The sequence below is a fragment of the Homo sapiens genome, chromosome 3, assembly GCF_000001405.40.
Source record: "Homo sapiens chromosome 3, GRCh38.p14 Primary Assembly".
Lineage (NCBI taxonomy): Eukaryota > Metazoa > Chordata > Mammalia > Primates > Hominidae > Homo > Homo sapiens.
In genome coordinates, this window is record NC_000003.12 from 136913836 (window position 1) to 136930648 (window position 16813).

General features: G+C 37.2%; 1 protein-coding gene across 7 annotated transcripts in view, besides 1 other annotated feature; it reads left to right on the plus strand.

The window, feature by feature from the left end:
- The window catches only part of NCK1 (NCK adaptor protein 1), an 89399-nt gene that overhangs the window by 51628 nt on the left and 20958 nt on the right, over positions 1 to 16813 (plus strand). For 6 of the 7 annotated variants that reach the window (NM_001291999.2, XM_047448189.1, NM_006153.6 and 3 more), the window contains one exon: positions 14149 to 14392. In NM_001291999.2, coding sequence (NP_001278928.1) covers positions 14167 to 14392 — 226 coding nt within the window. In that variant the 5' untranslated portion in view covers positions 14149 to 14166. Of the gene's footprint in view, positions 1 to 14148; positions 14393 to 16666; positions 16760 to 16813 lie in introns of those variants that run through there. The other variant, NM_001190796.3, reaches the window with a different exon arrangement.
- Positions 16539 to 16739: a silencer, noted in NCBI's record as "peak4840 fragment used in MPRA reporter construct". NCBI's record gives its function as "represses an SCP1 promoter by STARR-seq MPRAs in K562 erythroleukemia cells {active_cell/tissue: K562}" and the evidence as "EXISTENCE:reporter gene assay evidence [ECO:0000049][PMID:32103011]".

Sequence of the window (16813 nt, forward strand, 5' to 3'; positions counted from 1 at the left end):
TTTTGTGTATTTTTATTAGAGACGGGGTTTCACCGTGTTAGCCAGGATGGTCTCGATCTCCTGACCTTGTGATCCTGGCCTCCCAAAGTGCTGGGATTACAGGCGTGAGCCACCACGCCCAGCCGCACAGTGATTTTCTAAATTCCCCATTTATATGGTTGCTTCTGAATGTCCTAGTCCTTTAATGTCTGGCTTCCAAAAAGGGAGAAAGAGAAAAATGAAGAAATAAAAATAAAAGGCCCTGGTCTTTTAAATCCCCTTTAGCCTGACTGCGGGGAGCAGTGGCCTCTAGCTATTGGGAGGGAGGTGAAACAATAGCTGCCTGCTTCTGTGTCTGTATCTCAGTGATCAGAAAGCGCAATTAGCTGTCAGAGCATAGATACCTGATAGTTGGAGGACAGGTCTTATTGCCCGAAAGCTGTGGAACACATGCGTGTCTGCCTGGAGATTGGGGAATGGGTAGTCACTGCTGAACTAAGAGCTGAAATTGACTAAAAGTAACAGCAGTTTATTTTCAGGCCCTTTCCCTGGAACTTGCAAGCCTTAGAATGTGCTCCAGAGTTCCAAAATACTTAAATAAGACAGATTATACTAGTACAATTGTTGTCTAGGTGGAGAGAAGATTCTTGTTGCTTCCTACTCTGCTTTCTCCCCAGAATCCTCTAATGTTTTTTAAAGGTTTCATTAGAGTTAGAAGAGTTCTTTTTCTCCTTAATTTTGAGGAACTCAAGAATAGTAAGTTCATTATAACTCAAAGAAAATCCATTGGAGACCTTTTATTTAGCTTTTATCTTCAGTTAGCAAACATTTATAGAAGGAATTTGTGTTTCAGATCTTTTTTGCGCCCTAATGTGACAACTAATGTGACAACTTCTGGCTTCCAGCCAGAAGATATTGGGACTTGAAATTGGGAGATCGCTTGCTATGGTTTGAATGTTCTCTCCAAATCTCATGTTGAAATTTGATCCCCATGTTGGAAGTGGGGCCTAATGGGAGGTGTTTGGGTCGTGGGAGTGGATCCCTCATAATATATTACTGCCATCCCTCTTGAGTAAGTGAGTTCTCACTATATTAGTTCCTGTGGGAGCCAGTTGTTAAAAAGAGCCTGACACCTCCCCATTCTCTCTCTTGCTTCATCTCTCGTCATGTGATCTGTGTACATGCTGGCTTCTCTTTGCCATCTTTCATGGGTGGAAGCATACTGAGGTTCTCACCAGATGAAGATGCCCAATCTTGAACTTTCTAGCCATGAGAATTTTGAGCCAAATAAGCCTTTTTTCTTTATAGATTAGCCTCAGGCATTCCTTTGTAGCAACACAGACAGACTAATACGTACCTTAAGGAGGCTTCATCAAGTAGATCACATTACTACTAAGGGGTAGTAGTAGTGAGAATGGAGATACATGGATTCATTTGAGTCCTATTGAGAAGATAAAAGGGACATGATTTGGTCTGTGGGGGGTTGACGTAGTAGCATTAATTAATCCAGACAGCTGGATTTATGGTGGTACTTTTTCTTGAATTATAGGTCACAGAAGCACAAAGTATTGTAGGGAAAGGTGTATGAAGATGTGCCTATGCAATAATATTGTAGAAGTTGCAAAGTTCTTTTATACCCAGGATTTTTAAGTAAGAATGTACGGAGTGTACTGGTTCCCTGTAACTCCAGTAGGTCTTATGGCTTGCATAGGCCAAAATGATAATGGGAGGCATGATAAACTTTAATAGGGCTGTATTAGTCTGCTCTCACGTTGCTATAAATAACTACTTGAGACTGGGTAATTTATAAAGAAAAGAGGTTTAAAAGGTTCACAGTTTCCTCAGGCTGTATAGGAAGCATGGCCAGAGCAGAAGGAAGAGAGTGAAGGTGAAGGTGCCAAACACTTTTGCTTTTGTTTTTTTTTTTTTGAGATGGAGTCTCACTCCGTCATCCAGGCTGGAGTGCAGTGGAGCCATCTTGGCTCACTGCAACCTCCACCTCCCAGGTTCAAGCAATTCTCCTGTCTCAGCCTCCCGAGTAGCTGGGATTACAGGTGTGCATCACCACGCCTGGCTAACTTTTGTATTATTAGTAGAGACAGGGTTTCACCACGTTGGCCATGCTGGTCTCGAACTCCTGAGCCCGGGTGATCTGCCCACCTCGGCCTCCTAAAGTGCTGGGATTACAGGTGTGAGCCACTGGGCCCGGCCTAGCCAAACACTTTTAAACAACCAGGTCTCATGAGAATTCATCATGGAACAACAGCTATCACAGAACAACAAGGGGGGAAATCTGTCCCCATGATCCAGTCACCTCGCAGTCACCTCCAGTCACCTGGAGATTACAATTCGACATGAGATTTGGGTGGATACACAAATCCAAACTGTATCAAGGGCTAAGTGGTAGAGTCCTAAAACCATTTTGTGATTAAAAATGACATAAGCTCATGGAAGGCATGAGGGGGAATTGGAATTAAGTGCAGCAATTAATATGAAAAATTCTCAAATGTTATGATTAGTCATAAGTTAAATACGTCTGATATTTCAGGTTAACACAGGTTTTATGTATGTGAACTCACTCAAGAGGGATGGCAGTAATGTATTCATGAGGTATCCACTCCCACAACCCAAACACCTCCCATTAGGCCCCATTTCCAACATGGGGATCAAATTTCAACATGAGATTTGGAGAGAACCTTCAAGTAAGCATATTCAGGTTTTATGAATATGCTTACTAGAAGAGATGACACAATCTAAACCTTATTAATAATGTAAAGCATGGGGAAATTATAGTCAGTGTTCTCTGTGTTAGTTTGTGTATGTTGTTTTGGAAATATGTATAACTTGGAGTGACACTGAAATATAATAATTAGATTAGAAGGGTAAGGATCAGAATGAGGGTTTAGTGTAATGAAAAACTTAGAAAATAAAACAGTTTGTTTAGTTCAAAAAATTGAAATTGTAATTTTGATACTCAATAAAAGAGACTTTTTTATATTATCCAGTTCAATTCCCTTATTTTGTAGATAAGGAAATGGAGTTTCTGGGAGGTTGGTATGACAGGCCCTGAGTGATCACTAACGGCAGAGCAGTGGCTACAACCCAAGTGTGTGGCTAGGAGGGAAATTAAATATATTATAAGCATATTTTGCTTATAGGGGCAGCCAAACAGGGCTGAAAACTAGGGTAAGATAAACAAGTTGCCTAAGGTGAAATATTGTACATTTGTAATTTATCAAATGTATTCATATGTAATATGTAAACATAGTATAAAATGTGGAGCATTGGTTCAGTTTATGTGAGAACAATGTGGCATGTTCTGTGTCAAGCTTGTCCATCCTATGGGCTGCATGCAGCCCAGGACAGCTTTAAATGTGGCCCAACACAAATTTGTAAACTTTCTTAAAACATTATGAGCTTTTTTTTTTTTTTTGCTTAATCAGCTATCGTTAGTGTATTTTATGTGTGGCCTGAGACAATTCTTCTTCCAGTATGATCCAGGGAAACCAAAAGATTGGACACCTCTGTCCATGTTAAGCCTCATAGATCTTTCTCAGGCCTGGCCTGGTTCCTATTCTCATTTTTTCCTTGAATCAGATCTCAGAGACTATATTTTACTTTGCATCTTTAAAGTTGTTTTAACCTTCACAATCCTTTGGGGGTTTTTCTCCAGCTTTTGAAAAATTGGAGAATCTAGACCATCTTCCTAGTGCCCTCCACCTTATAGCCCATGTAACCAAATATGAAAGCAATTTAGAGATAATAGTAAAAGGGAAATAAAGGATAGTTCATATCTTACACTTTTCCTGTCATGCCTCTGGTTTCTAGTTTGTGACTCCCATTTTACTTTTGAGGGTCAAGTTACCTAGGTCAGTTCTCTCTCCTTAGGTAAAGGTCACGTTTCTTTATTTATAACAGTTCTTTCCCACAGCACTTACGAGTTAGAGGTGGTTTAGGTTGAGTAAAATCTCTGCTTCCATGTCTCAGGAAGATAATTCCCAGAACCTTCGCAATGGATGACAAATACATCAGTAAGCTCTCACCAAATATTAGTGCTTCCCTTTTTGGCATCACCCTTTGTGAGGAGAATAAGACCAGAATCCATAGTCTCTATCTTACAACCAGTGGGTGTAAATTTCTTGTGTTGCTTCTCTGGATCTGTCCTGTTTTATACCTGACACCTGGCCTGTCCCCAGGATCATTATTCTTTTTGTTCTTTACACCCTTAGAGTTCAAGGCAGGCCGTTTGTTTTTATATTACATTTAAAAATAAATTGTTTATGTGGAGCATTCTGGGAGCTTAGAGTTTGTAAAGTGAAAAGATGGGTGGTTTTATTGATCCAGCAAGAGTTGGCTAAATGTATAGCTAGGTTTCTTCTGATATTCTTTATAGATACATATCTAAATAATATATACATATTATCTCTTAGTTCATTTCTATTAAGATAAATGAAGATACAGTCAGCCCTCCACATCTCTGGGTTCTGCATCCACAGATTCAACCAACCACAGGTAAAAAATATTCTGGAAAAAAAAATACACTAATTAAAATATACAAACAAAAAACCCAATACAGTGAAACAACTATTCACATTTTATTATATTAGGTATTACAAGTAATCTAGAGATGACTTAACGTATACAGGAGGTTGTGCATAGGTTATGTACAAGTACTAGGCCATTTTCATATAAGAGACTTGAGCATCTCTGGATTTTGGTATTGGGGAGGAGGAAACTGGCACTGATTTCCCTTAGATTAACCTTATCCAACCTGTGGCCTGCGGGCTGCATGCAGCCCAGGATGGCTTTGAATGCAGCCCAACACAAATTCACAAACGTTCTTAAAACATGATGAGATTTTTTGGTGATTATTTTAAGCTCATCAGCTATCGTTAGTTTAGTGTATTTTATGTGTGGCCCAAGACAATTCTTCCATTGTGGCCCAGGAAAGCCAAAAGATTGGACACTCCTGCCTTAGATACTGAGGGCCAACTGTATTCATTCATGTAACCTTTCTTGGCCTCATTGTCTTGATAAAGTGATATATATTCAGTGTTTTCACTAATGACCGTGTAACCATGTGAGTATTGTTCATTACTGGCTCACCTCCTATGATTAAATTTATTTTCTTGTTTAACTTAGTTTTTCTTGAAATTTATAAAGTTCTCATTAAATAAATGATGGTTCGTCCGTACAATGGACTACTCAGCACTAAAAAGGAGTGAACTACTGATTTACACAACACAAATGAAACAAATGCATTATGTTAACTGGAAAAGCCAGACTCAGCGTCTGCATAAAACATTCTGGAAAAGGCAAAACTACATAGGGACAGAAAATAGATCAATAGTTGTCACAAATTAATGGTTGGGGATGGGTTTGAATACAAAGCATAAAGCAATTTTTTTTTTTCTTGAGGGGGAGTGATAGAACTGTTCTTATTTTCTTATTTAGATTGTGGCAGTGATTACATAACTCTTAAATGTTTGTCAAATTTTATTCACAACAAACAGTGAAAATCTTACTGTATGTAAAATAAACAGCAAAAAAATATATGGCCCTATTTTTATCCATCTATTATGTATCATTCCTCAATATATATTGACAGTTTTGTAGATCTTACAAATACTGACAATGTAATTGAATTTCATGTAGCCTCTGGAATCTCTAGTGAAAAGGGAAATTAACATCCTAGTATTATGAAAATAGTTTTGGCTCCGTAGACCCCTTAAGAGATCCACTTTAGTAACCCTTTCTTAGAGAACTGCTAATGTAAATACATGAATAATGCTAGACAAAACACCTGAAAACATGTTCTTTCCCAAACTACTTTTATAAATTCTATAGGTATAGCTATATATTAATGACACAAAGTTTGTCAAATCATTTAATCAGTCATATTGTGTATAATTTGTAAACTGAGGAAGGGTACTGTTGGCTGTGTATATAGGTCATGATAAATATGACCTTTTTTGGCAAGTCAGTAGTTATACCCTAAGGAAAATGTAAGGAACCAGCTAGCAATAAAATAAAATTCTAAAGGGAAATCTCTTGTTCAGTTTTAGATTCTGTTGTACTTTAACACATAACTTGACAATTTCCTGCTTCTGATAAGAATCAGCTAAGTAACAATACCCAAGTGACTAAGTCCGGAAGTTTGGTTGGGGTACAGATCTCACAGTAAACAATGAAGGGGGAGAAAGTCCCCAATTAACTAACTTGGATATGCTGTAAGTAATGCAAAAAGACAAGGCAATTCATAAGATGATTTTATTCTCTTCAGCTTTTTAAACCCTAGTATCTCATCAAGTAATTTTAATTGGTAAATACTCTTACTAATGAAACAACTAATGAAACAGATCCCACCACTGGGAAAACAAAAAATTACAGGCTAGTCAGAAATAAAGGCTACTTAAAAATTAAGTTTTTCTTCTTTTTTTTTAAAAAATAGTGTAGGTCAAATAAAATTCCATCTAATTCTGTCCACTTTTGGAAATATCACTTTGAAATCATCCCCAATATGAGAAGGCACAAAATAATGACAAAGGCAAAAGTGCTGTGCATAGCACAATTCATTCACTTATTCACTCAACAAATGTTTATTGAGTAGTTAGTGGAGACTAGGAGACAGAGCAAAGGAATGAGAATAAAGAAAGATAAGCAAAAAGTTTGCTCTTAAAAAAACCTCAACTATAATTCTGTTTCTTTGACAAACTTATAAATATCTTAGGTATATAAGACATTACTGTCTATATGATTATTTTGTTAGGCATTACAGAATATTACTTATTACCCCTCTGAACTATAATAAACTGATCCAAGATCAGTATCATCATCCTATAATCTGAAGATTATTACATTTTATCTAAAGAAAGAAGCCATTATGTGACTACAAACGTAAGAGCAATAATCTTGCTAAATTATGAGCAATTAGATATAAACCACCAATTATGAAAACGTGTAACATAATGAATTTATTGTCATAATTAACACAGCAAACATGTAAGTACATTAATTGATCTAAGTCTTATATACTATATGGGAATTAAACATAAATGGCCTTATAGTTGATTGTAATCATATTTTTAAATTTCTAAAAAATTGTGGTAAAAACAAATGTTATGAACTGAATTTTGTCCCTTCAAAAATTCACACATTGAAGTCCTAACCCCCAGTAGTTCATAATGTGACTATATTTGGATATAGTGTCTTTAAAGAGGTAACTGAGGTAAAATGAGGTCGTTAAGATGGACCTTAATCCCTTATGACTCCTCTTCCTGGTTCACCTGGCTAGAAATATTGGCATTAAGTACATTCACATTGTTGTACAACCATCTATTTCCAGAATAATCTTCATCTTGCAAAACTTAAACTCTGTACCCATTAAACAGTAACTCCCCTGTATATAGATAGCCAAACTACCAGTCATGTATGAGAGAACAAAATCACTTTCAGATATGCATTCTAAAAAATTTAATTCCAATATATTTTTAACTCAGGAAACAACTAGAGGACGTGCTCCAGCAAAATGAAGGGTAAAGCAAGAAAAAGTAAGACATAGGATCTAGGAAGCGGAGGAACTGTGGGCAGTAGTTCCAATATTGGTTTCATTTTCTAAACTTTTGCTGTGGTATTTGCATCTTTGCTTTATGCAGGGATGTGTGGGGCTTGAGTGGTGTTTATATTGTACTTCATTTCTTAGTGCCTTTGTGATGCTTCTTTGGATATTCTATGCATGTCCAATTTGGGAGAGCCCAGTACTTGTGTTGGTCCATAACTAGAATTATAGATGTCGAAGATAAACTGGACACTAGTTAAAATGGTAAGGACAGATTTTATTCAGTAACTATTGCAGTAGGGAAGAGTGTCCAGTGTGAACTCAACTCACTTTTGCCAAAACAAAAGGGGAAGAGACTTTTTTAAAGGTTGAGTATGCTAAGGGAAAGACACTGCTAAGGGAAAGAAAGATGGTTTTTTTGTTTTGTTTTGAGACGGAGTCTGTCTCTGTCACCAGGCTGGAGTGCAGTGGCGTGATCTCAGCTCACTGCAGTCTCCGCCTCCCAGACTCAAGCAATTCCCCTGCCTCAGTCTCCTGAGTAGCTGGGACTACAGGCACGCACCACCACGCCCAGCTAATTTTATTGTATTTTAGTAGAGACGGGGTTTCACCATGTTGGCCAGGATGGTCTTAGTTTCCTGACCTCGTGATCTGCCTGCCTCGGCCTCCCAAAGTGCTGGGATTACAGGCGTGAGCCACCGCGCCCGGCCACTGAGTGGTTTTTAAGGGCAATAGGTGGTCCATGTGAGTAGGCCATCTGGGTTTGTTATTGGCATTTATCTGGAAGAGAAACAAACTTATTATTTATGACAGGAGGTGGTGGTACAAATTAGGCCCACCAATGTTTGGCCCTTACCCTCTCGCCAGGGACTGGGAACAAAAGTGAAAGTTATCTTTTTGATTGTTTGCATTCCAAAGAGGTAGTTCTCAGGTCCTTGGGAAGATAGTTCTTGATGGTAGAAGATTTAAGTCACAAAGGGACAGAGAAAGGATTTATAATTTCAAGCTTTCTAAGGTAACTGCTCTAAATGGGGGTTCAGGTGACCATCTGCCTATCACCAGGTTTTGGCTGGAACAAACGGTAAATTCTGGCCATGTGGAGCCTTTTCAGGTAAGGAACTTGATGGAGTTGGAGTCATTATTCTAGGATATGGGGAAAAGATATGAACAAGCACTTTACACAGAAAAACAAATGTAAATGTCCCTTAAATATGGGAAAAGAAATCACTGTAATAAGAGAAATACAAATTACAACTCTGAAATACTATTTCTCCCCTATTAGATTGGCAAAAATCCAAAAGATTGACAACATAGTTTGTTGGCAAGGCTGTGGGGAAATAATCACTGATATATTGTTAGGAGTTTTTAAAAATAGTTTATGAATACAGAATTTAGCAGTATCTCACAAAATTATACAAACTTTAGCTGTAACTCAGCATTCTTCTATGATTCTAACCCAAAGGTACACTAACAGAAAATCAAAATGACACATGTATGAGGCTGTTCATTGCAGCACTATTTAATCCCAGAAAATTACAAACAACCCATTGACCATCAGTAAGGTCTAGTTGAAGAAAGTGCTACTTACATAATGATGACGCACTCTGCAATTGTTAGAAGTAGTAGATGTATTAGTAAAGGAAGTCTCATGTGCTGCTGTGGAATGATCTTAAGGATAGATTGTTAAACTGAAAATGAAAAGATTCAGGCAATATAGTCTATGCCTATGTGTATGTGTGTGTGTGTGTGCGCGCCTGTGTGCATGTGTGTGTGTATGTTTTGTTGTGGGGGTAGATAAAAATTAGAATTTTCAATTTTCTTATATATTTTTCTTGAATACTTTCCTTAAATTATTTAAAAAAAAATAGAAACATAAACCAAAACAAATAAATAGCTGTCCAGGCCGGGCGCGGTGGCTCACGCCTGTAATCCCAGCACTTTGGGAGGCCGAGGCAGGCGGATCACGAGGTCAGGAGATCGAAACCATCCTGGCTAACACAGTGAAACCCCGTCTCCACTAAAAATACAAAAAAATTAGCCGGGCATGGTGGCGGGCACCTGTAGTCCCGGCTACTCGGAGGCTGAGGCAGGAGAATGCCATGAACCTGGGAGGCGGAGGTTGCAGTGAGCCAGGGTCGCTCCACTGCACTCCAGCCTGGGTGACAGTGCAGTGCGAGACTCCGTCTCAAATAAATAAATAAATAAATAAATAAATAAATAAATGGCTGTCCAGTGGGGTGGATGGGAGAGGGGAGAGAAAAGAGAAGGTATGGAAGAAGACCTCTCTAAATGTTTTAAATATGTTTGATATTTAAGCATATTTAATGTTTAAACATTCATATAAACAATATTAAACATAATGTTCAAACATGTTTGATATTTAAACATCTACCTTGCTTGATAGTTTAGCTTTTAGAACCATCCAAATGTTTTACATAATTATGAAACAATTACATTTTAAAAAGGGAAAATAAAGTGATCTTCAAAAAATGAAAACAAGTGAGCCTAACTCTACGTCCAGTTGGTGTCATAACCACACAGAAGTATATATTCTACCTTTTCTGTAAGGTTTTATGTTTTAGGGTAATAGAACAATAAGCAAAATTTTCCTTTGAGAATAATCACAGTTTCTGAAAGCAGGTAGAGCTAGCACATCATCATTATTGAAATAGTTGATCTAGGCAGTGATCATCAGTGGCAGGTAAAACCATTGGGTAGAGGTTTGATGGGGGAACTTTATAATAATGGATAAATCAGTTCAGTGCTACAAATCTACCATTCAGTCTTAACATCACAGAAAATGGTTCAGGCAGACATAATGTGCCTCCTAATAAATGGCAATAACAAGTACACAAGAATACTTAACGAATTATTCTTGCAACAATGACAAAACAACCTAGAAAAAGTAAAGCCTCTAGAAATAATTACCAGTTTATAGGAGATAGGGGGGATAGAGGAACACCATGAAAATATACACTAGCCAAATTCACGATGTGGGAAATGCTACAGGACAAGTGAAGCCAGCTTCTTAAATAAATGACATAGAGTGGGGAAAGAGAACAGTGTCAGAGACTTAAAACATGTTAGCTTAAGTGCAATATATCGACTTAGTTTGGATCCCAGTTCACACCAACTGTAAGAATGTTTAAAAAAATACACTTAGCAAAAATTGAATATTAGCATTAGATGAAATAAGTGTTGCAGGAGTTCTTAATAAAGGAACACCTTTTCAAAATGAGCTTTTGAAAATATACTGATAATTTAATTTTAGTATAATTGACTTGTTTGCAATCTTATATATTTTTATGCATCAGAAACATTGTGAGTAGAGGTTCTATGTTTCACCACACTGCCATTAGGCAGGAGGAGGGGAGGTCCATGGCTTAACCCATTTGTGCCTAGTGTTCCATTATTGGAACGCTAAGCTTGTGAGAGTTATTTATATCATGCTCAAGGTCGTCACCAAGGTCTGATTTTTCACACAAGAAATTGCAACCTCCGGCATATATGGGTTAAAAAAGGGAAAAGGTCAGGAGCCCTTGATTTGTTCATTTTTGAGGGGTATGGGTTTTTAATCTGTTAGTGCTTAATGAAATCATGGGATTCCAGTTCCCCCACCAAAAATTAGGGGGATAGCTGAACCACAAGGCATAATATTGATAAAATTGGGTGATAGGTATAGGATTCATTATACTATTCTCTTCTGTAAATGTTGAAAAGTGCCATAATTATAAAACTTAAAAGCATTATATAAATTTTTAGTTATTATACCAGTAATGTAGTAGAATGCTATTTTTGTACATTCTGGGGAGGACTAGATAATATTGGTAATACTTTTGTCACCCTGATAGGTAAAGTGTGGTATTTCAGTTTAGTTTTCATTTCTTTAATTATAAAGATATTCAGGATCTTTTGAATACTTTTTGACTATTTGTGTTTTCTCTTTCAGTTTTTATTTTAATTAAACTTTTTATTTTGAGATCATTATAGATCCACATGCAATTCTGAGAAACTTTAGAACTTATTGCGAGATCCAGTGTATGCTTTCCTCCAGTGGCAATACATCTGGCAGAAGTATAGTACAATATCACAATAATATTACAAAATTTCTTCATATTGCCCTTTTATAGTCATACTTACTTCCCTCCTGTTCCTGCTGCCCCGTTAACCCTGGCAACTACTAATCTGTTTCTAATTTCCATATTTTGTCATTTTGAGAGTGTTATATAAATGGAGTCATATAGTTAACCTTTGAGATTGGCTTTTTTCACTGAGCAGTTATAATTCCCTGGAGATTCATCCAGGTCGTTTTGTGCATCAATTGTTCTTTTTGGTATGAACGTACCAGTTTGTTTAATTATTTGCCTGTTGAAGGACATCTGGGTGGTTTCCGGTTTTTGACTGTTAGAAATAAAGTTGCTGTTAACATTCATGTAAAATGTGAACATAAATTTTCATTTCTCTGGGATAAATACCCAGGGGTGCAGTTGCTAGCTTGTATGGTAGTTGCATGTTTAGTTTTATGAGAAACTGTCAGACAATTTTGCGGAGTATCTGTACCATTTTACATTCTCATCAGCAGTATACGTGTGATCCAATTTCAACTTACCCTTGTCAGCATTTGGTATTACCACTCTTAGCCATTCTGACAAGCGTATGTAGTGACATCTCAGTGTGGTTTTAATTTGCATTTCTTTAATAGCTAATGATGAATACCTTTTCATCTGCTTATTTGCCATCTGTAAATCTTCAGTGAATGCCTCTTCATGTTTTTTTGCTCATTTTCTAGTTGGATTTGTTTTTCTAATGTTTCTTTAACTTTTCTAACTGCTTAAGATAGATACTCAGTTCATTAATTTATTTTTAGCTCTTTTTAAAATTTTATTTTAAATTTTATTATTATTATTATTATTATTTTTTGATACAGAGTCTCGCTCTGCGGCCCAGGCTGGAGTGCAGTGGCGCGATCTCGGCTCACTGCAAGCCCCGCCTCCCGGGTTCAAGCCATTCTCCTGCCTCAGCGTCCCAAGTAGCTGGGACTACAGGCACCCGCCACCACGCCTGTCTAATTTTTTTGTATTTTTAGTAGAGACAGGGTTTTACCGTGTTAGCCAGGATGGTCTCGATCTCCTGAACTTGTGATTCACCCGCCTCAGCCTCCTGAAGTGCTGGGATTACAGGCATGAGCCACCGCGCCCGGCCACTCTTTTTGTTTTTTAATGTTACTATTTAAAACTAAAAATCTGTCTATATACACTCCTCTTGCTACATCCCACAGAGTTCGATGTATAGTTTTTAAAATTATTTACTTCTAAGTATTTTCAAAATTCAATATGATTTCTTCTTAGATTCATTAGTTTTTAGAAGTTTCCAAACGTGGTATTTCAAAAGTTATCTTTTTGTTATGGTTGTTGGAGAATATGGTTGTAGGATATCAGTTACGTGAACATTGAGACATTCTTTATGGCCTGGCATTTGATTGCTTTTTGTATGTGTTTCATTTGTTTTCTATTTGGAAGCAATATTCTGTATATGTCTATTAAATCAGACTTGCTGGTTGTGATATGAGTTCTTCTCTAGCCTTAATAATGTTTGTATTTATTTATTTATTTTTTTGAGACCAAGTCTGGCTGTGTCACCCAGGCCTGGAGTGCAGTGGCACGATCTTGGCTAACTGCAACCTCCGCCTCCCAGGTTCAAGGGATTCTCCTGCCTCAGCCTCCTGAGTAGCTGGGATTCCAAGTGTGCGCCACCATACCTAGCTAATTTTTGTATTTTTAGTAGAGATGGGGTTTCACCATGTTGGCCAGGCTGGTCTTGCATTCCTGACCTCAGGTGATCCACCAGCCTCGGCCTCCCGAAGTGCTGGGATTACAGGTGTGTGCCACCAGGCCTGGCCGTTTTTATTTCTTTGTTTTGTTACTCTGATAATATGTTAAAAATTGTCCTCTGTGGTAATGGGTTTGTCAAGATCTCCTTGTGGTTCTGTCAACATATTTTGAAACTATCTTGTTACTAGGTACATAGAAGTTTAGATATTGTAATTGAGTAGAACATTTTTCATTGGGTAGTGAACTTTATTGCTAGTAATGGTTTTTGCCCTTTAAGTTTTGTTTGATACTAATAGAGCAACACCAGTCTCTTTATTGATTGGTTGATTGATTGATTGAGACAGATTCTCCCTCTGTCGCCAGGCTGGAGTGCAGTGGTGCGATATCGGCTCACTGCAACCTTCGCCTCCCAGGTTCAAGCTATTCCCATGCCTCAGCCTCCTGAGTAGCTGGGACTACGGGTGTGCACCATCACGCCCAGCTAATTTTTGTATTTTAGTACAGATGGGGTTTCACCATGTTGGCCAAGCTGGTCTCGAACTCAACCTCAAGTGATCTGCCTGCCTTGGCCTCCCAAAGTGCTGGGATTACAGGCATGAGCCACTGCGCACGGCCATACAGTCACAGTCTCTTTAAATTACTATTTGCCTCATGTATTTTTTTCCATATTTTTTACTTTTCATCTTTATGTCTTTAGATTTTTAGGTGTGTCTCTTTTGAAAAGCATGTGAACTAATACTACCTCAACCTTACATAAAAATATTTTCCATGTGTTTACAGTGCTGAAGCTGCTGAAAGATGGCAGAAGAAGTGGTGGTAGTAGCCAAATTTGATTATGTGGCCCAACAAGAACAAGAGTTGGACATCAAGAAGAATGAGAGATTATGGCTTCTGGATGATTCTAAGTCCTGGTGGCGAGTTCGAAATTCCATGAATAAAACAGGTTTTGTGCCTTCTAACTATGTGGAAAGGAAAAACAGTGCTCGGAAAGCATCTATTGTGAAAAACCTAAAGGATACCTTAGGTAAGATATTTTTTAAAAGAAAAGCAACTTTGTTTTAAATGAAACCTGCAACTTAGTTCTTTGTACATAATTCTGGCAGCAGTGTGCATAATTGACTTGAAAAGGCAAGGGCTAGGTAAGTTTGAGTCATAGCAGGTGGTCAACCCAGAAGACCAGTGAAGGTCATAAGTGTTAACATGCAGTTTCTGTAAATCTAGGCCCATGCTCCAAGTCAAGGCAGAGTGATACCAATGAGTAGAACTAACTCTCACCTTCTAGCAGGGGCTTTTTGAACCATGAATCACTGTTGGAGTTTAGACTTATAGGCAGAATTGCCTCTTTGGCACCAAGGCAACTTATGTACATGGCACATAATGAATTTTAACATCTAATGACCTTATGTTTTGAACTTCACTTAAAACCCTCCATTTTGTTTTTCTATTTGATAAGAGAACTGTGGATCATTACTGTACATTAGCACCTACAGAGCTCTTTTCTATTTTGTTTCTCTTTTTCCCTTTATTTCTCCAAAGTTTTTGTTTTTTATTTTTACTGGCCCTCCATTAGGGCCTGAGACAGTGGAGCCCACTTCACACTGGACTTGGCTAAGCTGATAGGAAGGAAATATGCATGGGCAAGGAATGGCCTCTTCTTTAAAAAAAAAAAAAAAAAAAAAAAATTAAACTCTCCTTAGCTGACAGGAAGGAATTGGGAGGGACAGAATTTCATTTTTGGTGTTCAGGCAAACATGCTATTTGCGTAATTGTTCTTTGTCTAGGTGTAGAAGAAAAGTACAATTTCTCCTTGTGCAGACAGTTTGGGAGCAATATAGCATGACTGACAAATATGAAATACTGTTGACTCACTACTTTACATTAGTTTTTATTTATTTATTTTTTATGGTTTTGTAGAGATGGAGTCTTGCTCTGTTGTCCAGGCCAAACTTGAACTCCTGGGCTCAAGCAACCCTCCCACCTCAGCTTCCTGAGTAGCTGGGACTACAGATGCTTACTACCATACCCAGCTTAGTTTTTATTCTTATTCAACATTATTGTTATTCTAGAATGTTCTTCTAATTATCAATAAAATACAAATATTTAATGTTTTTAACCATTGTAAAACTGCAAAAACTAAAATATAGTACAATTTGGAGTAAGATATAAAGTAGTGGATTATCAGTTTCTGAGATAAAAATATTTCCAGTGTTCTAAAGGTAATTAAGTAGATATAATGTGATGTTTAACTGCTGAGGTAACTTTTTAAATACTTTTGGGTTTTGTGATTAAGACCATTATTTTTAGTTTTTCAATGGAAGACAAATCAGAAAGAGATTTTCCTTCAGTAGCAGAAGAGACCAGGGTTAGAATCAGCAATACTGGTTTTGTAAATACTGGAATTTATTTAAAGCATGATGATTAGAGATATTGGGAGAAATTAAGGTAATTTCTGTCAAGAAAGTATGCCTCATAGTGATACGTGCACAGGGTACTAAGACATACCCAGTTAGACTTTTTTGTTCCATTTTAAGAGGACACTGGTATCTTGGGATTAGAGTGAATGTGACAGTAATTAACAAAATATAGTGAAAAAACTATTATCATAGAGCAAAGGGGGGAAGTAGTCCAGTATTAGGTATTACTGTATGTAAATCTAAAATCCCATTTAAATATAATTTTTATTTGTTAATACTCCAGGATGCATTCCGTACTACAGTATTCTGATGTTATTGAGACAGTTTTATCAAGATTTTATCTCTATTTAAGTCTTAGGAAATCTCTGTTAACTTTATTACTGTATTACAGTTATTGCTACCTTTATTCCAGGGTGCTTGGAAACATTGTTTTGAGTTAGTGATCTGTAGTTAACCTGTAAAGAGATATAAGTCCAGCTTTTACATTAGATAAACTTTTCCCTTTTCTCATAATTTCTGTATCCCTTTTTGGTAACTTAAATATCCGGTGTAATTAATGGATTTGTTTCGCAATGGTTGTGCTGGTGGAGACATTGTTTGAAAGTTGAGAAGGAAAAGGGGAAAACAAAAGGATTAATTCATGAATATATTTTAACTATAAAAAATATATATGCTTTAAAGCATCTTCCAAAATAAGTCTGAATAATAAGGTCATATTTTTGGCCATGATTATTTACTTGTTATACAGGCTGTGTTATAATTTAGAGGAAAAAAAAGTTTTGGAAAGAGAAGCCTCAGAAAAATTTTCTATTGCCTGGGTGTGGGCCAGGTCACATGGATTGGGTGTGGGAAGTTTCAGTGTTGCAGAACAGACGAGGAAGCTCACTGAGAATTATCCTGAGCTGTGTTAACAAACTGACAGAACACAGAATTTTTACTCAAAATGGATTGGTTAAACGTCTTTAAAGATTTTTTCAGTAAGTTAATCTGTTTATTAAATCCACTGTTTTCTTGAAGTTGTGAATTAGATT